This window comes from Homo sapiens, chromosome X, assembly GCF_000001405.40.
Source record: "Homo sapiens chromosome X, GRCh38.p14 Primary Assembly".
NCBI classification, from domain to species: domain Eukaryota; kingdom Metazoa; phylum Chordata; class Mammalia; order Primates; family Hominidae; genus Homo; species Homo sapiens.
The window spans coordinates 40,989,599-41,010,458 of NC_000023.11; the positions used below are offsets into that span (position 1 = coordinate 40,989,599).

Consider the following 20,860-nt stretch of genomic DNA (forward strand, 5'->3'; position numbering starts at 1 on the left):
ATATTATATGGTTTAATTCATATGAAAGTCCAGAATAGGAAAAGCTATAGAGACAGAAAGTAGATTAGTGATTGCTTAGGTCTGAGAAAGGAGGGAGAATAAAGGGGATGTGTATTAGTCCATTCTTACACTACTATAAAGAACTACCTGAAACTGGGTAATTTATAAAGAAAAGAGATTTAGTTAGCTCATGGTTCTGCAGGCTGTACAGGAAGCATGGTTGGGGAGGCCTCAGGAAACTTACAGTCATGGTGAATGCCAAAGGGGAAGCAGGCACATCTTACATGGCAGGAAGAAGAGAGAGACGGGGAGGTGCCACACACTGTTAAACAACAAGATCTCTTGAGAACTCACTATCACGAGAACAGCAAGGGGGAGATCTGCCCTCATGATCCAATCACCTCCCACCAGGTCCCTCCTCCAACACTGGCGATTACAATTCAGCATGAGAGGCCGGGCATGGTGGCTCATGCCAATAATCCTAGCCCTTTGGGAGGCCGAGGCAGGTGGATCAACTGAGGTCAGGAGTTCAAGACCAGCATGGCCAACATGGTGAAACCAGTCTCTACTAAAAATACAAAAATTAGCCAGGCGTGGTGGCAGGCACCTGTAATCCCAGTTTCTCAGGAGGCTGAGGCAGGAGAATTGCTTGAACCCGGGAGGTGGAGGTTGCAGTGAGCCGAGATGCGCCACTGCACTCTAGCCTGGACAACAAGAGTGAAACTTCGTCTCAAAACAAAAACAAAACAAATCAGCATGAGATTTGGGTGGGGACACAAATCCAAACCATATCATTCCGCTCCTGGCCCCTCCCAAGTCTCATGTCCTTCTCACATTGCAAAATATAATCATCCCTGATCAACAGTCCCCCAAGTCTTGACTTATTTCAGCATTAACTCAAAAGTCCACAGTGCAAAGTCTTATCTGAGACAAGGGAAGTCCCTTCCGCCTTTGAGCCTGTAAAATCAAAAACAAGTTAGTTACTTCAAAAATACAATAAGAATACAGGCATTTGGTAGATAGTCCCATTCCAAAAGGGAGAAATCAGCCAAAAAAAAGGGGCTACAGGCCCCATGCAAGTCCAAAACCAGCAGGGCAGCCATTAAATATTAAAGCTCCAAAACAATCTCCTTTGACTCCATCTCTCACATCCAGGCCACACTGATGCAAGGGGTGGGCTCCCAAGGCCTTGGGCAGCTCTGCCCCTGTGGCTCTGCAGGGCTCAGCTCCCACGGCTGCTCTCAAGGGCTGGTGTTGAGTACCTACAGCTTTTCCAGGCATATGGTGCAAGCTGTTGGTGGATTTACCATTCTGGGGTCTGGAGGACAGTGGCCCTCTTCTCATAGCTCTACTAGGCAGTGCCCCAGTGGGGGCTCTGTATGGGGGCTCCAACCCCACATTTCCCTTCTGCACTGCCCTAGTAGAGGTTCTCCATGAGAGGATGATAGCTAGAGAATAGGGTTTCTTTTTTTTGTTTCTTTTTGAGACGGGGTCCCATTCTGTCTCCCAGGCTGGAGTGCAATGGCACGATCTCGGCTCACTGCAACCTCCGCCTCCCAGATTCAAGTGATTCTCCTGCCTCAGTCTGCCCAGTAGCTGGGATTACAGGCATGTGCCACGATGCCTGGCTAATTTTTTGTATTTTTAGTAGAGACAAGGTTTCACCATATTGACCAGGCTGGTCTCAAACTCCTGACCTCAAGTGACCCACCCACCTCGGCCTCCCAAAGTGCTGGGATTACAGGTGTGAGCCACAGCGCCTGGCTGAGGATAGGGTTTCTTTTGAAGTGATGAAAATGTTCTAAAATTGACTGTGGTGATGGTTGCACATATATGTGAATATACTAATTAAACCACTAAATTGTACACTTTAAATTGCCAGGCATGGTGGCTTACACCTGTGATCCCAGCACTTCGGGAGGCCAAGGTGGGCGGATCACTTGAGGCCAGGAGTTCGAAACCAGCCTGGCCAACATGGTAAAACCCCATCTCTACTAAAAATACAAAAATTAGCCAGGCATGGTGGCCAGTGCCTGTGAACCCAGCTGCTCTGGAGGCTGAGGCAGGAGAATTACTTGAACCCGGGAGGTGGAGGTTGCAGTGAGCCAAGATTGTGTCACTGCACTCCAGCCTGGGCAACAGAGCAAGACTCCGTCTCAAAAAAAATTAAAATTAAAAAACAAATGGGTGGATTCTATGGAATGTGTTTTACAACTCAATAAAGCTGTTTTTAAAATGAAGAGTAACAAAATGACTCTTCCTAAAGTGTTTGGGACCCTACGTGACTTGTCTCAGACTCTTCCTGACACGTTTCAGGTCATTCTGACTTGATTGAGACACTTTCCAACTTCTGGGAGACACTGCCTGACATGTTTCAGATCCTTCTGGCTATACTTGATCTCTTCCTTTCTGTTTGAGATCTTCCTAACTTGAGTAAGACCCTTCCGGTCTCACTTGTTTTATTCCTTCCTTACATGGTTGAGAAAGTTATTTATTTGCTGAAGTCTTTTCCTGATTATTTGAGACACTCTCTGCCCGGTCGAGATGCTTCCTGAAATGTAAATGTCTCTTCCTGATTATTTGAAACCCTTCCTGACTTGTTTAGACCTTGACTAACATGTTGAGATCCTTTCTGGTGTATTTTGGACCTCTCCTGATTGTTTGAGACTCTGCCTAACTTGACTGGGACTCTTTCTGACTTGTTTGAGATCTTTACTCAAATGGTTAAAACACTTCCTAATTTAAGACGTTTCTGGATGGGCACAGTGTCTCACACCTGTAATCCCAGCACTTTGGGAGGCTAAGTCAGAATGATGCTTGAGGCCAGGAGTTTGAGACCAGCCTGGGCAGCAAAGTGAGATCCTGTCTCTACAAAAACGTTAGAAAATAAAAAACTAGATGGGCATGGTGGTGTGCTCCTGTGGTCCCAGCTACTCGGGAGGCTGAGGTGGGAGGGTTGCTTGAGCCCAGTAGGTCAAGGCTGCAGTGAGCCATGATGGCGCCACTGTACTCCAGCCTAGATGACAGAGTGAGACCCTGTCTCAAAAAAAAAAAAAAAAAAATTTCCCGGTGTGTTAAATTCTCTTCCTGATTATTTGAGACTCTCTGACTTATCTGAGACCCTTCTTGACTATTTGAGACTCTTCCTGATGACTTTGAGCCCCTTCCTGTCATTCTTTTTTTTTTTTTTTTTTTTTTTGAGACAGAGTCTCGCTCTTTCGCCCAGGCCGGACTGCAGTGGCGCTATCTCGGCTCACTGCAAGCTCCGCCTCCCGGATTCACGCCATTCTCCTGCCTCAGCCTCTCGAGTAGCTGAGACTACAGGCGCCTGCCACCGTGCCCAGCTAATTTTTTGTATTTTTAGTAGAGATGGAGTTTCACCGTGTTAGCCAGGATGGTCTCGATCTCCTGACCTCGTGATCCGCCCGCCTTGGCCTCCCGTGATCCAAAGTGCTGGGATTACAGGCGTGAGCCACCGTGCCCGGCCCCTTCCTGTCATGTTTTATGTCCTTCCTCACTGGTTCGAGACTCATTCTTACTCGCTTAAGACCCTTTCTGAAATGTTTGAGACCCATCCTGATCTGGTAAAAGTCTTCCTCATAATGTTTAGACCCTTCTTGGCTTGTTTGCTAGATGCTTTTCCTGACATATTTTTATTTTATTTTATTTTATTTTAAGTTCCGGGATACATGTGCAGGATGTGCAGGCTTGTTACACAGGTAAAAGTGTGCCATGGTGGTTTGCTGCTCCTATCAACCCATCACTTAGGTATTAAGCCCAGCATGCATTAGATATTTATCCTGATGCTGTCCCTCCTCCTGCCCCACCCCACCCCCCAGACAGGCCCCAGTGTGTGTTGCTCCCTCCCTGTGTCCCTGTGTTCTCATTGTTCAGCTCCCACTTATAGATGAGAACATGCAGTGTTTGGTTTTCCGTTCCTGTGTTAGTTTGCTGAGGATAATGGCTTCCAGCTCCATCCATGTCCCTGCAAAGGACATGATCTTGTTCCTTTTTACGGCTGCATAGTATTCCATGTTGTATATGTACCACATTTTCTTTATCCAGTCTGTATTGATACTTGAGACTCTTCTGGACAGACATGAGATGCTTTCTGATGTATTTGAAGCCCACCTTAATACATGCAAGACTTTTCCTCATGACTTTGAGGCTGCTCCTGTCATGTTGGAGGCCTTTTCTGACTTGTTTGATACTCTTCATGACATATTTGAGATGCCTGACATATGTGAGGCTTTTCATGGTGTATTTAAGACACTTTCCCTTTCTTTCGGACCCTTCCTGATATGTTTGCAAAACATGCCAATTTGTTAGAGATACTTACTGACCTGCTTCAAAAGTTTCTCAACTTTGAGACTCTTTTCTGTTTGAAATCATTCCTGGTGAATTTGAGACCCTTCCTAATCTATTTGAGACTCTTCCTTATGCGTATGAAACCATTTTTTACTTGCCTCATTTTACTTGACTCTTCCTGACATACTTGAGATGCTTGCTGACCTGTTTGAGACACTTCCTGACCTATTTGGTATCATTCCTGGTTATTCAAGACTCCCTAAAAATCTTGAGACACCTCCTGACATGTACGTGATATTTTCTGGCTTGTTTCAGAACCTTCCAGACATGTTTGAGACCCTTCCCAGAAAGGGCCCTTTTGGGACCTTTTTTTAAGACAGGATCTGGCTCTGTCACCCAGGCTGGAGTGCAGCCTAAGCCTCCCAAGTAGCTGGGGACTACAGGTACATGCCACCACAACTGGCTGATTTTTGTATTTTTAGTAGAGATGGGGTTTCACCATGTTGGCCAGGCTGGTCTTGAACTCCTGACCTCAAGTGATACACCCGCCTTGGCCTCCCAAAGTGCTGGGATTACCATGTTGGCCAGGCTGGTCTTGAACTCCTGACCTCAAGTGATACACCTGCCTCGGCCTCCCAAAGTGCTGGGATTACAGGCGTGAGCCACCACACCTGGCCTGGGACCCTTTTTTGAAGCTTCTCTATCTTAGTACAGATTCTCCCTGTCTGTGTAAGACCCCTTCTTTTTTTTTTTTTCTGTTTTGAGACAGAGTCTCGCCTTGTCGCCCAGGCTGGAATGCAGTGGTGCTATCTCTGCTCACTGCAAGCTCCGCCTCCCAGGTTCAAGCAATTCTCCTGTCTCAGCCTCCTGGGTAGCTGGGACTACAGGCGAACGCCACCAGGCCAGGCTAATTTTTTGTGTTTTTAGTAGAGATGGGGTTTCACCACGTTGGCCAGGCTGGTCTTGAACTCCTGACCTCGTGATCCACCCACCTCGGCCTCCCAAAGTGCTGTGATTACAAGTGTGAGCCACTGCGCCCGGCCAACACCCTTTCAAAGATCATTAAAACGTTTCCTTACAACTTTGTGACCCTTGCTTATGTATTTGAATCTCTTACTGTCTGCTTAAGACCTTGACTGACATGTTTGAGACCCTTCTTGTCTGAGTCCCTTCCTGATGTATCTAAAACTCTTCCTGATGACTTTAAGACACTTTCCTAACACGTTCGTGACCTTCTATAACTTGCTCGAGCTGTTTCCTGATACTTAAGATCCTTCATAATTTTTTGAGCTCTTTCAGACTATTTGGGGGCCCTTTGTGACATATTTGAGACCTTTCTTATCTTGCTTTAGATGTTTTCTGACTATTCAAGATTGTTTTCTTCTGTTTGAGATCCTTCCTTATGTATTCGATACCCTTCTTGAGTTGAGAACCTTCCAGAAGTATTTGAGATTGTTATTGACTTGTTTAAAGCTCTCCCTGACTTGTCTGAGACTCTTCCTGATGTATTTGAGACAATTTCTGGCTTGCTGGAAACCTTTGCCAAGGTGTTGGAGACTTTTCCTTACTATTTGAGAGTCTTCCTGTCTGACTGAGACCCTTTTGGACATGTTTGAGATCCTTCCTTCTTTTTTGATACTTTCTGACTTCTCCATTCTCACTTTTTTTATTCTTCCTGTCATATGTGAGTCTTTTCCTGACCTATTTGAGACTCTTACTAACCAGTTTCAGACCTTCTCTGGCCTCTTTGAGACTTGTCCTTAAGTATTTAGTTAACTTTTCCTGACATCTTTGAGACCCTTCCTGTCTTTTTGGAGATTTGCTTTTGATTTGTTTCTGAGTGCTGAATCAGTACCTGGTACAATCTTAGGAGGAGGCAAAAAGACAGTTATCCTCAGAATGGAGAGGACCTTTCTTCAAGCATCTAATCAAAACATATATATGACCATGTGTCAAGAAAAATCAGGCTGGGCACGGTGGCGAATGCCTGTAGTCTTAGCTACTTGCAAGGCTGAGGCAGGAGAATCGCTTGAACCCTGGAGGCGGAGGTTGCAGTGAGCCGAGACGGCGCCACTGCACTCCAGCCTGGGTGACAAGAGCGAGACTCTGTCTAAAGAAATAAAAAAGAAAGAAAAGAAAAATCTATCAGTGCTTTCCTTTCATCCAATCCTCAATTGAAAATGAAGAGTTGAGACTTTTCTTGGCGATAGGACATTCCTGGTCTTTTTTCTTTTCTTTTTCTTTTCTTTTTTTTCTCTTTTTTTTTTTTTTTTGAGACAGGCTCTCGCTCTGTCACCGAAGCTGAAGTGCAGTGGTGATCACAGCTCACTGCAGCCTGGACCTCCTGGGCTTCAGGGTCAAGCAATCCTCCCACCTCAGCTCCCTGAGTAGCTGGGACCACAAACATGCTCCACCATGTCCGGCTAATTTTTTAATTTTTTGTAGAGACCTGGGTCCTCCTATGTTGCCCAGGCTGGTCTCAACTCCTGGGCTCAAGTGATCCTCCAGGCCTCCCAAAGTGCTGGGATTACGAGCATGAGCCACTGCACCAGGCCTTTCCTAGTCTTTTTTTTTTTCCAGAGTTTCGCCTCTGTTGCCCAGGCTGGAGCGCAATGGCACAATCTCAGCTCACTGCAAACTCCGCCTCCCGGGTCCAGGTGATTCTCCTGCCTCAGCCTCCTGAGTAGCTGGGATTACAGGCGCTTGACACCATGCCTGGCTAACTTTTTGTATTTTTAGTAGAGACGGAGTTTCGCCATGTTGGCCAGGCTGGTCTGACCTCAGGTGATCCGCCCGCCTCCGCCTCCCAAAGTGCTGGGATTACAGGTGTGAGCCACTGCACCAGGCCTCTTCTAGTCTTTTGATCAAAATTATCTCCAATTCTGCCTAAGTGTCTGTGTTTTTCGTTAGAATATAGTTTTGGCTGTTGTCTCTGAGAACCAAAATAACAATGTCTTACGATAAAGAAAGCAGAGCATTTCTCCCTCTGGGCATATGTAGTCCAGAGCTGCTCTTTCAGCACCATGGTGGTTCCTGGGCTCCTCCTGTGTTATGAAATTGCCATCCCTGAGTGAAGCTTTGTCCACATGGTCCCAGATGGCTCATTACCACATCCCTCTTCCAACCAGCAAGAAGGGCAAAGAGGAAGCAGATAGCAAGCTCTGCTCCTTTAGGGACATGATCCAGAAGTTGCATACATAAGTTCTGCTCACATATAGTTGGCCAGAATGTAGTCACATGACCACATCTAGCTATAAGGGAGGCTGGGTAATGTAGTCTCTATTCTGGGAAGCCATTTTACCTTCTTAAATTCGGGGTTTCTATTGCTACCAAAAAATGAACAAAAAGGATTTGGGGGAACAAATAGCAATCTAGTCACAATCTCCCATTTTGAAACTTAGAAGTTTTCAATTTGGCTAAGAAAAAAAAAAATTCCCTCCTCCGGCAAGAGAAAAAAAAAAAGGAACTTCCCCCCTTTTCTCTTCCTTAACTTGGTAGCTCCCACAGAGGAATGGTTTTTAATGCTAAGCAATGAAAGCAAACGGAAAAAAGGCTGCTGGAATTTGGAGTATTTCTTTGTAATCAAGAATGCCTTGAGATATCAGGCTAGGACCTAAAGACCAACCTGAATTTTGTAATTGAACGTCTGTGTCTGCAGCAAAAGCACAGAACATTTTTAGATGCAGATAGTATCAGATCACCATCTGGACTATAAATAATTTATACATTTCAGATACCTGGGAATCACATGGGCCAGGAACAAATAAGGTACTAAATCTCAGTGAGAAAAAATATCTCCAAACATTGTATCTGTGAATCCAATTTAAAGTCGAATGATGGTTTGGAGAATTGAATAAAAATACAGGAAAGATCTCTATTGCTTACGTAAAATTGAATTCGCATTATTTTTTATTTTAAAAAATATACAAAGGAAAGGCTGAACAAATTAAGCTTAATTCTCCACAATCCAGTCATGGGGTGGGTGGGTTGGGGGCAACTAGAATTGATTCCATATCCAATCCCCTGTCTTTGGGTTCTAGAGGTAAGACGCTTATCAGATCCTCTCCAAGTAGTGACTTTGCACATTGGGCCGCAACTTTGTAAAACATGATCACTCTTTTGACTATTTTTGAGAGAGCTTGCTGAGGCATCTGACTGAGTACACTTAGAGAATGACAAAACATGGCAGAAAGAGAGTCTGGAGGCTGATTCCGGGTTGGCAGTGGGAGGATGAAACAGAACACTGGGCTGCCCCAAATCCAATGGATGGGGCACGGACAGGGGCCAGGGTTCAGTTGGGCATTGCCAGAAAGTCACAACAGATGTTCTTTCAGAGTGGAGCCAGGAGCCTGAAACCTACAAATGAACTCGGTTAGGAGCTGGCAAGATAACTTGCCCACTGACCTTCACCAAGTACTTGTCGGTGGCCTTGCTCAGCCTTTACAGGCCCAGCCATCCACCTGCCAACCTCTCTCTGGACAGTGCCTTAAAGGCTGCACAGAGGAAGTTTCAGCATTGTACTCTCTGGAATGGAGTCTAGTGAGGTGGTTGGGCATGTTTCTGTGTTTTTGAGAAATGGGTGATCACGTGAGGTCCCTCTGAATTGGAATACGTGTGAACACAAATAAGTGTCTTTAATCACTTAGAATTTTTGTTTTATATTTATTCAAAGAATTCTTTTAGACTTATCTAGACATTTGTTTTTCTCATATATCACTTTTGGACATACCTTAAAAAAGAAAATTTAAGTTGGTTAAAGTATTCCTAAAACTTCTTTACATTCAGAACCCAGCTTTTCTGAATCAACTTTTAAAAATTGAGATGCAACATTGTGTGTGTGTGTGTGTGTGTGTGTGTAATTTTTTTTTTTTTTTTGAGACAGGGTCTCACTCTGTCACCCAGTCTGCAGTGCAGTGACACAACCATGGCTTACTGCAGCCTCGACCTCCTGGGCTCAAACCATCCTCCCACTTCAGCCTCCCAAGTAGCTGGGACTACAGGTGTGAGCCACCACACTCAGCTAATTTTTTAAATTTTTTGTAGAGACACGGTTTCACTATGTTGACTAGGCTGGTCTCAAACTCCTGGCCTCAAGCAATCTGGCTGTCTCAGCCTCCCAAAGTGCTAGGATTACAGGCATGACCCACCACGCCTGGCCTGTATATATTAAAGTATGTAAGGTACACTAGTCATAAATGTTTATATACACACACACACACACATATATATAGATACACATAGATACACACACATATATTCTGATAACCACCATCCAAAGGATGTAGAGCAATTGGGACTTTCATACACCATTGGTGGGTGTGAAAATTCATACCATCACTTTGAAAAACAGCTTTATGCCCGGGCACAGTGGCTCACACCTGTAATCCCAGCACTTTGTGAGGCCAAGGCAGGCAGATCACCTGAGGTCAGGAGTTCAAGACCACCCTGACCAACATGGAGAAACCCCATCTCTACTAAAAATACAAAATTAGTCAGGCATGGTGGCACATGCCTGTAATCCCAGCTACTCGGGAGGCTGAGGCAGGAGAATCACTTGAACCCGGGACATGGAGGTTGCGGTGAGCCAAGATCCCACCATTGCACTCCAGCCTGGGCAACAAAAGAGAAACTCCACTCAAAAATAAATAAATAAATAAATAAAAGAAAAACAGTTTTACAGTATCTACTAAAGTTAAACATATGCCTACTTTATGAACTAGCAGTCCCTCTCCTGAATATACACTCAAGAGAAATGAGTGCATATGTCCACCAAAATGCATGTATAAGAATATCTAGGGCTGGGCATGGTGGCTCATGCCTGTAATCCCAGCACTTTGGGAGGCCGAGACAGGTGGATCACTTGAGGCCGGAAGTTCAAGACCAGCCTGGCCAACATGGCGAAACCCTGTCTTTACAAAAAAAAAAAAAATACAAAAATTATCTGGGTGTGGGGGTGCGCACCTGTAGTCCCAGCTACTCAGGAGGCTGAGGCAGGAGAATTGCTTGAACCCAGGAGGCGAAGGTTGCAGTGAGCCGAGATCACGTCACGGTGCCCCAACCCGGGCAACAGAGTGAGACTCTATCTCAAAAACAAAAAAAAAAACATAATATGAGGTATTATATTACTTAGATTATAGATGAAGTGCTAGAGGAGTCCAGAGATCAGGGAAGACATCCTGGAGAAGATCATACCTTCATTCATTCATGTTGCAGCATTTATCAGTACTTCATTCCTAGTTATAGCAAACTAATATCCATTGCGTGGCTAGACAGCATTTTGTTTATCCATTCATCCGTGGATGGATATTTGGGTTATTTCCATCTTTTGGCTATTATGAATAATGCTGCCCTGAACATCTGCATACAAGTCTTTGTGTGGACATATGTTTTGGCCTCTCTTAAGTAGATACCTAGGAGTAGAATTTCTGGGTCATATAGTAAATTTATGCTTAACTTTTTAAGAAACTGCCAGACTGTTTTCCAAATTCATTATACCATTTTGTCATACCACCCAGCAATACGTGAGGCTTTCCATTTCTCCACATTTATACATTTATGCCAGCATTTGTTACTGTCTGTCTTTTTTGATTCTAGCTAGCATAATGAACGCGAAGTATCTCATTGTAGTTTTGATTTGCATTTGCCTAATGACGATGACGTTAAACATCTTTTTTTGTTTTTTTTGAGACGGAATTTTGCTCTTGTTGCCCAGGCTGGAGTGCAATGGTGCAATCTTGGCTCAATGCAACCTCTGCCTCCCAGGTTCAAGCGATTCTCCTGCCTCAGCCTCCCGAGTAGCTGGGATTACAGGTGTGTGCCACCACGCCTGGCTAATTTTTGTATTTTCAATAGAGATGGGGTTTCACCATATTGGCCAGGCTGGTCTCGAACTTCTGACCTCAGGTGATCTGCCCGCCTCTGCCTCCCAAAGTGCTGGGATTACAGGCGTGAGCCACTGTGCCCGGCCGATGTTAAACATCTTTTCATGTGCATTAGCCATTTGTATGTCCTCTTTGGTGAAATGACTATTCAAATATTTTGCTCATTTTTAATTGACTAGTTTTTTTTTTTTTGAGATGGAGTCTCGCTCTGTCCCCCAGGCTGGAGTGCAGTGGCTCAATCTCCGCTCACAGCAAGCTCCGCCTCCTGGGTTCATGCCATTCTCCTGCCTTAGCCTCCCGAGTAGCTGGGATCACAGGTGCCCGCCACCACGCCTGGCTAATTTTTTGTATTTTTATTAGAGACAGGGTTCACCATGTTAGCCAGGATGGTCTTGATCTCCTGACCTCGTGATCTGCCTGCCTCGGCCTCCCAAAGTGCTGGGATTACAGGTGAGAGCCAGACTTGTTTGTATTTTTAATATTGAGTTGTAAAAGTTCTTTATTTCCAATCGAAATGTAATATAAATCTATGCAATCTTTCTGGAGTACAATGTGGCTTCAAATGTTTCAAATGCCCTAGAATTGTGTAATTGTGTGTGTGTGTGTGTGTGTGTGTGTCCCTTTAGGCAGGGCACTGTGATGCACTACCCAGATTCCCCTTCAGTGAAGGACTTCTTGCCCAACTCCAAGAGTGTGGTCAGCAGACAGCCCTCAGCTGTCATCCCCTCCAGGTCTGCCTCAGCTGCAGAGGGCAGCCCATGCCCACTGACTGATCAAGGCAAGGGTCTAAAGGTCTGGACATTTCCACTCAGCCCTGGACAGCTCTGAAAGGCTGTTCTAACACCAGAGTTCCCTGTAGGGTCAGCTGAGTCCATCAGGCCTGCATCAAAGCTTGGCTTCTCTCTCTACCCAATCCTGCTTCATCCTCCTACCTTCCACAGGTGTTGATCCCAAGAGCACTTCTTAGTGAACATCCTACACACTAAACTCCATTGCAGAGTCAGTTTCCTGCAGAACCCCACCTACAACAAGCAGCTTCATCTTAACTCCCCCAAAAGTATCATCTTCTAAGAAATTCTGTGTAATTCTAATGGCACACACACACACACCATCTCTTGTTGATTAGCCCAGAAGTTAGCACCTGACCCAAGATGAACCAAACAAAGCTTTTCCCTGGGGGTGTTGAACTTGGGAATCAGAGAGACTAAGTCACTGCACCTGCCCGGTGTGAAGCTGGAAAACAGGAGGGTAGGAAGGAGTAACACAGTATATCTGGTTGCTCACTCCCAGCACAGCTCCAAGGGACCCTAGAGCTATGATCATTCCTTGCCCAACCCCTGAGAATGTGGCCCTTGGAAGGTTTTTTACGTTAATGATTGATGATTTTGTTGTGTACATGTGGTGCAATGGACCATGCTGTACCAGCTTGTCAGGACTGGTTTGCACAAACATCAAGATTGATGATTGCACCCGAAAGGAACCAACTGTCCAGCCGAGCTACACGAGGAGATGAAGGGAGCAGAAATGTCCAGCTCCTGGGCTACGTGGCCAAAGAGGCAGTCAGCATGTTTACCTCTCTGAAGCGTGCATTCTACCATCAGGACACCCATCCATTTGTCTTCCCCACACTGCACAGTGAATCCAGTGAGTCTCCTGCAGTCCTTTGATCTTAGAAAACCAGGCCAGAAAATAACAAGTAGCAACCTGGGGACAGTAAAATCTCTGCCCTGGGAATCGCTTTTCCTCCTAGAGCTGATCTACTACAACTACTCAGAATACATGCAAATGCTACACAATCATCCCGGTGACATATGTCTGTGTTATCCACAGGTGAATTTTGAACCTAGGACCTCTTTAAACTTCTTTGCAGTTACTTAAAGTGTACTAAAGAAAGGCTAATGTATGATAGTGCCAGATTGAAGTAAGTATTCGGAAGGCAATGGTTTCCAAGAGCAGATAGATATTCTTCAAAGTGAAGGCTTAGAGGAAATGATGCCCGTGAAAAAGGGACAGGCATTAAACCAGTGCCCAGAAAATAGCTCCATTAAATGAGCTTCTTACCACCATTAAAGTGGAAGTGTGACCTGCTCACTCTTTGTAATTTAGAGAACAAATGAATCAAAAAGTAAAATCCAAGGCTAGACGAGGTGACTCATGCCTGTAATCCCAACACTTTGGGAGGCCAAGGAGGTCGAATCACTTGAGCTCAGGAGTTTGAGACCAACCTGACCAACATGGAGAAACCCCTTCTCTACAAACAATGCAAAAATTAGCCAGGTGCCCTGGTGTGCGCCTGTAGTCCCAGCTATTCAGGAGACTGAGGCAGGAGAATCTCTTGTGCCCAAGACACAGAGGCTGCAGTGAACCGAGATATCACCACTGCACTGCAGCCTGGGTGACACAGTCAGACTCTGTCTCAAAAATAAATAAATAAATAAATAATCAGGCCAGGCACAGTGGCTCACACCTGTAATCCCAGCACTTTGGGAGGCTGAGGCGGGAGGATCACTCAGGCGTTTGAGACCAGCCTGGCCAACATGGTGACACACTGTCTCTACTAAAAATACAAAAATTAGCCAGGCATGGTGGCACGCACCCGTAATCCCAGCTACTCAGGAGGCTGAGGCAAGAGAATCACTTGAACCCGGGAGGCGAAGGTTACAGTGAGCCGAGATTGCGCCACTGCACTCCAGCCCAGGTGACAGAGTAAGACTCCGTCTCAAAATAAATAAACAATAAATTACCAATTCTGTGGTATTCTATTATAGCAACACAAAATAAAGATAGCTTCCCTCTGCAGGTCACTGTGATATATCTTCTGGGATTTAAGAACTTTCATTTTTAAGACCTGGTTTTCTGAAAATGTTTTATAGGCAGCAGGGCACTAAATCCTCTCAGAGAAGCCAAATCACTGAGTAAGGAAAAGTGATGAATAGCACTTCTCTGTATTGTCAGAAATCAGTGATTGGGGGATTACAGGCTTATAAGTGGTTAGTTCTCTAGGAGATATCTTTCAACTTACATCTGGCTCTGGTAAAGAATTGTTAGGAAGACAAAGAAATACAAATTATTGATATTGATTTCATCAAACATTATCAGAGTAGGAAGAAAATTAAACTTGACCTTCATTCACCCCATACCATACACAAAAATTATTCCAGGGTAAAGTATCAGAACTTTATCAGAAATATGAATACTGGACAGTTGAAGGAGTAGGTATACTTTGAACCCCCAAGCAAAGATGGCTAATCTTCTAAATACTTAAAGGCTTTTCTTATCAGGCAGGTCGTTTGACCTCTAAGTGGATTCAAAGACTCAGAAGTCTATGTTATCCTAAAATTCCAGCATAATTAAGCTACATGCTAACATAAAAATGATTTTATCTTCTATCTTCAAAATGTTTCCCTAGGCTGGGCACGATGGCTCACGCCTGTAATCCCAGCACTGTGGGAGGCTGGGGCAGAGGATTGCTTGAGCCCAGGAGTTCGAGACCAGCCTGGGCAATATAGTGAGACCTCATCTCTACAAAAAATTTTTTCTAGAAAATTAGCCACGTATGGTAGCACATGCCTGTAGTCCCACCTACTTGGGAGGCTGAGGCAGGAGGATCACTTGAACCCGGGGAAGTTGAGGCTGCAGTGAGCTGTGATCGCCCCACTGAACTCCAACCTGGGCGACAAAGCGAGACTGTGTCTCAAGAAGAAAAAAAAAATGTTTTCCTAATAAAACATATAAATGAGAAGAAGTGAAATCCAAATCATACATCAGTGAATTATTTAAACATTTATTGCTTTCCCTAATCATAAAAGTAATAAATATTTACTGTAAAAAAAGAAACTTAGAAACTAGAGAAGGTATAAGGGAGAAAAAAATTAAAGTTACCCATAATCTCACCACTCAGGGACTACCATTTCAAATGTATGGGTTAATATGGTTTACTTCTCTTTCTGTGGACACCTAGATGTGCACATAGAACCTCTATGAAACTGGGATCCCAGTATTTGCACTGTTTCAAAACCTGCTTCTCTCATTCAACAGAATATGTGCCCTTGTCATCATTTCTAGTGGCTGCATGAAAAAAGAGGCATCACAACCTACTTTATCACTCTCTCATTGCCAGACATCCAAGCAGCCTCCCAATATTTGTTAATGTAAACAAACAAACAAAAAACTGCAAGGCCAGGTGCTCACCTGAGCCCAGGAGGTCAAAGCTGCAGTGAACTGAGATCGTGCCACTGCACAACTCTGTCCCAAAAAATAACAATAATGCTGCTGGCTGGGCGTGGTGGCTCACACCCGTAATCCCAGCACTTTGGGAGGCTGAGACAGGAGGATCCCTAGAGCTCAGGAGTTCAAGACCAGCCTGACCAACATGGTGAAACCCCATCTCTACTAAAACTACAAAAGTTAGAAGGGCATGGTGGCACGTGCCTGTAGCCCCAGCAACTCGGGAGGCTGAAGAGGGAGAATCACTTGAACCTGGGAGGCGGAGGTTGCAGTGAGCCAAGATTGCCCCACTGCCCTCAAGCCTGGGTGACACAGTGAGACCCTGTCTCCAAAAAAAAAAAACCAAAAAAAAAAAACCATGCTGCTAAGAGCATGTCTGCACATGTATCCTTGCACACTTTTCCATTTATTTTTGTTACCCAGGTGACTCCAGGTCCTCCAGTCTGCACAATTTACCTTTTCCTTTAATATCTAAATAAAATGCTGGAGACTCATCCCCTCCAACAAAGGGAAGTTCAGCACTTCCCCCAAGGTCTTCAAGAGGTCTCAGCGGGGTTCCGTTCCTCTCAATCACTTCTCACTCTGTTTTCCTGTTTATCCCTGCAAGCATTTCATCCTCTTGGGCAGCTGTCCCCTTTCAACATGACTTTGCCTTTCTTCCTTCATCTGTCCAAAGTGCCCCTAATGCATGGCAGCCACGTGTAGCTGCCTTTCACTGAGCTTTGGGGGAAATGAAAGACAATCACAATACAGGGCAGGAAGTAATCAAATTCACACCAGACATTACTGTTCCTAGAAAGTTGCTGGCCATTCTCCACCACCTGGGGACTTCTCATGGATGGCATTCCTTTATGGATCCTGCCATGCTCCTGGGACCTTCTGCCTTCTGCTCTCTTTACTGACCCCCTGACCTTTTTATATCTTCTCTCCTTTCTGTGTACCTAAACTCTTTTTTTTCTTTTTTGAGACAGAATCTCACTCCATCTCCCAGGCTGGAGTGCAGTGGCTCAATCATAGCTCACTGCAGCCTCGAACTCCTGGGCTCAAGTGATCCTCCCACCTTAGCCTCCTTGGTAGCTGGGACTACAGGCATGCATGACCACGCCTGGCTAATTAAAAAAAAAAAAAAAATTGGCCGGGCGCAGTGGCTCACGCCTGTAATCCCAGCACTTTGGGAGGCGGGCAGATCACGAGGTCAGGAGATCATGGCTAACATGGTGAAACCCCATCTCTACTAAAAATACAAAAAATTAGCTGGGCGTGGAGGCGCCTGTAGTCCCAGCTACTCGGGAGGCTGAGGCAGGAGAATGGCGTGAACCTGGGAGGCGGAGCTTGCAGTGAGCCGAGATTGTGCCACTGCACTCCAGCCTGGGCGACAGAGCGAGACTCTGTCTCCAAAAAAAAAAAAAATTTAATTTAAAAATAAGGGTCTCCCAGGCTGGTCTCAAACTCCTGGCCTCAAACCATCCTCCTGCCTCTGCCTCACAATGTGCTAGGATTACAGACGTAAGCCACCATGCCCAGCCTTTGTACCTAAACTCTTTATCTTCTCACTCAAGCAGCCCTGAAAATTCCAAATGCCTCCTGCTTATTTTTATTTTTTATTTTTATTGAGACAGAGTTTCGTTTTGTCACCCAGGCTGCAGTGCAGTGGCACAATCTTGGCTCACTGCAACCTCCGCCTCCCAGGTTCAGGCGATTCTCCTGCCCCAGCCTCCCAAGTAGCTGGGATCACAGACGCACTCCACCTTGCCTAGCTAATTTTTGTATTTTTTATAGAGATGGGGTTTTGCCATGTTGGCCAGGCTGGTCTCGAACTCCTGACCTCAGGTGATCCACCTGCCTCAACCTCCCAAAGTGCTGGGATTACAGGCATGAGCCACTGCGCCCAGCCCCTCCTGCTTATTATTTAATCCCTCCCAAATCCCAGGCAGCAGCTTCCTCCTTAAAACATCTTCTTCATTTAGCTTCGAGAACGCTACATTCTCCTGGTTTTCTTCCTCACTCACTGGCTCATTCTCTTCATCCTGACCTCTCAGCATCAGGGTGTCCCAGTATGCAGACTTTAGATCTCTTCTCTATTATTGCTCACTCCTGCATGAGCTCACCCAGTCTAACGGCTTTAAATACCCTCTATACACTAATGAGTCTCAAATTTGTATTTTCTGTCCTGACCTCCAGACTCATGTGCCCAATTGCTCCACTAAAAATACAAAAGTATTGGATAGAACCTAAATAACCCAGTTTGAATGGTTATTCTGTATCTCATTCTTTTTCTTTTTTTTCTTTTTTTTTTGAGACAGGGTCTCACTCGGTCGCCCAGGCTGGAGTGTAGTGGCACACTCTCGGCTCACTGCAACCTCCACCTCCCGGGCTCAAGCGATGCTCCTGCCTCAGCTTCCCAAGTAGCTGGGATTATAGGTGCGCACCACCATGCCCAGCTAATCTTTTTGTATTTTTAGTAGAGATGGGGTTTCGCCATGTTGCCCAGGCTGTATCTCATTCTTAATCTGTCCATAATTAAATTCTGCATTATTCCCAAACCTGCTCCTGCCTAGCATCCCCCTTCTTAGTAAATAACGGCTCCATTCTTCCACTTGCTCAGGCCAAAAACCTTGAAGTCATCCTTGACTCTCATCTTTCTATTACAATTCACATTTGACCTCGTAGCAAATCCCTTCAGCTTTGCTCTTATAGTGTTATTGCCTCTGACCACTTCTCACCTTCTCCACTGCTGCCCTGCCCTGGTCCAGCCTCCTGACAGCCTCCTGGATGGACCACTTGCAATAGGTCTTAATTGGTCTCTCTGTGTCCACTCTTGCCCAGCTGTAATTTACTCCTCATGGATAGCCTTTCAATATTTAAGCCAGCAAAGGTCATGTTCCACTTCAAAACTTTCCAATGGTTTCCCACCTGACTTGACCCAAATCAAAAGCCAGTGTGATCTGTCCCCTGGCTTTCTCTCCAACCTCAGCTGCTATCACCCTCCCTGCTTGCTCACCATGCTCCAGCCACATTGGTCTCCCTGCTGTCCCCTGAATAAAGAAGTTCATTCTCAGGAGGCTGAGACGAGAGGGTCGCTTGAGCCCAGGAGTTCAATGTTACAGTGAGCTATGATCATGCCACTGTATTCCAGGCTGGACGATAGGGTGAGACCTTGTCTCAGAAACGAAGTTCGTAAACTTCCTTCTCATCTTCGGCCTGTGTATTACTTTCTCCGCTCCTGAAATGTTCTGCCTTCAAATATCAGCATAGTTTCCTGCCTTTGTTCATTCATGTCTCTGACCCAACGGCACCTCCTCAAAGAGGCCCCCCCTTGACCACCTTATCTAAAAATAGCACCCATATTACTCTCTAATCCTTGACGCTGCTTTATTTTCCCTCTTGGTACTTAATCTGACATTTGGTGACATTTTTCATCTTTATATTTATTTATTTATTTATTTTGAGATGAAGTCTCGCTCTGTCGTCCAGGCTGGAGTGCAATGGCACAATCTCAGCTCACTACAACCTCCACCTCCTGGGTTCAAGCAATTCTCCTGCCTCAGCCTCCCGAGTAGCTGGCCTTACAGGCACGTGCCACCACGCCCAGCTAATTTTTGTATTTTTAGTAGAGATGGGGTTTCGCCATGTTGGCCAGGCTGGTCTTGAACTCCTGACCTTGGGTAATCCGTCCACCTTGGCCTCCGAAAGTGCTGGGATTACAGGCGTGGGCCACCGCGCCTGGCCCATTTTTCATTTTTAGATTGCCTCTTTCCCCCATGAGGGCAGGAACCTGGTCTGTTTTGTTTATTGCTATATTCCTATTATCTGGAAGAAGAACTGACACAGAAGGGGTGCCACAAATTCTTGTTAATTCTCTTCGTTTACGTTATGCAAGGTTCAAGTTCTTCCCAAATAGAATATAGCATGGAAGTTCTCGCAGGTGCTCTCTCTCCTCAATGCAAGACATGGCCACCTCTGAGATACAGTTGGCTCACCCCTAAAATGCTAAAGCCCAGCGATCACACAGGCGCACATATTAGAGCACTTCCTTCTCATAAACTTCCAGAAGCAGAATTACTAGATCATGAGCTAAACTCCCAAATTAACCTCCTGAGAGGTCAATGCTAATTCCTTTCCCATCAGCAGTACTCCATTACGGTGTACTCTGGGCCTTCAGGCAAATAATAATGATGATGATGATGATGTTGATGATGATGATGATAGTGTCCTCTTCACTCTTTGTTAACTGGAAAATAAACAGATCTTTTTAGTGGCAGGGAAACTTCTGGGTTATCAGGACTAGTGAGGTCCTGGGATGGGCTTTTAGGAGAAAAGAAGCTCTTCTGGCAGCTTCCATCTCTGAAATTATGTCCCCACCAATACTGTAAATTGTTTCCCCATGATGCCAAGTCATGTTTATTCAGGAATTCATTCACTTCATAATTCCTTTTGAGTATGTATTTTGTACGTAAACTCCAAACTTTTGCCAAGCTCAAGAATATTCCTTGAAATAAAGGAATTTGGCCAGGCATGGTGGCTAACACCTGTAATCCCAGCACTTTGGGAGGCGGAGGCGGGCTGATCACCTGAGGTCAGGAGTTTGAGACCAGCCTGGCCAACATGGCGAAACCTCGTCTCTACCAAAAATGCAAAAATTAGCCAGGCACAGTGGCAGGCGCTTGTAATCCCAGCTACTTGGGAGGCTGAGGCAGGAGAATCGCTTAAACCTGGGAGGCGGAGGTTGCAGTGAGCCGAGATTGTGCCGTTGCACTCCAGCCTGGGCGACAGAGCGAGACTCTGTCCTCCCCGTCCCCGCAAAAAAAAAAAAAAAAAAAAAAAAAAGGAATTTATAACTATCCTGGCATTTAGCAGTTTACAGGGGGGTTTCACTTCCGTTTTCTCATTTGGACCATGCAAAAGCCAACTGAGTACAATTCTGCCCATTTTACAGATGAACAAACCAGAGGCACAGAGGAGAGGGATTTGCCCGAGGCTACACAATACCTGTGAGTCACAGCCAGGACTAAGGATCCTGTGAGCTTCTCAGCACATGCCACTCCTTCCTACAACACCCTGCCAGGTCCACCACCTCCGTAAGTGGAGAATCTTAACGAAGGGCGACCTATGCACGCACCTGACTTCTGAGCTGAGGAACAGTAGAATGAAGGAGTTATTTTTAAATGGCTTTTACCGAGCCTGTGATGTCATTTCATTGATCACGCTGGGAGATGCGGTGCTGAGTTGTGCTATGGCAACTCGATTAAGGCTGGGAACTCCATTTCCTAGAAGCCCCTCCCTGCTGTGTTTCCGGGTTAGAGTTGGCCAAAAGAGAACCTTGTGCAAGAATTGTAGGGCGGAAGGCGAGCAGCAGTCACTGCCCCTGGCAGGTTTCCCGTCAGATACAGTGAAGGACAGAAACAGAGGGGCCCTGAGAGGCCCTGCAGCTCCCGGTTTATCCG

General features: G+C 45.5%; 2 annotated features.

The window, feature by feature from the left end:
• Window positions 7,418–7,712: an enhancer, noted in NCBI's record as "tiled region #12561; HepG2 Activating DNase unmatched - State 1:Tss, and K562 Activating DNase matched - State 5:Enh". NCBI's record gives its function as "activates a minimal TATA promoter and a strong SV40 promoter by Sharpr-MPRA in HepG2 and K562 cells {active_cell/tissue: HepG2 | K562}" and the evidence as "EXISTENCE:reporter gene assay evidence [ECO:0000049][PMID:27701403]".
• Window positions 7,477–7,536: a silencer, noted in NCBI's record as "silent region_20769". NCBI's record gives its function as "represses an Ori minimal core promoter by ATAC-STARR-seq in GM12878 lymphoblastoid cells {active_cell/tissue: GM12878}" and the evidence as "EXISTENCE:reporter gene assay evidence [ECO:0000049][PMID:35858748]".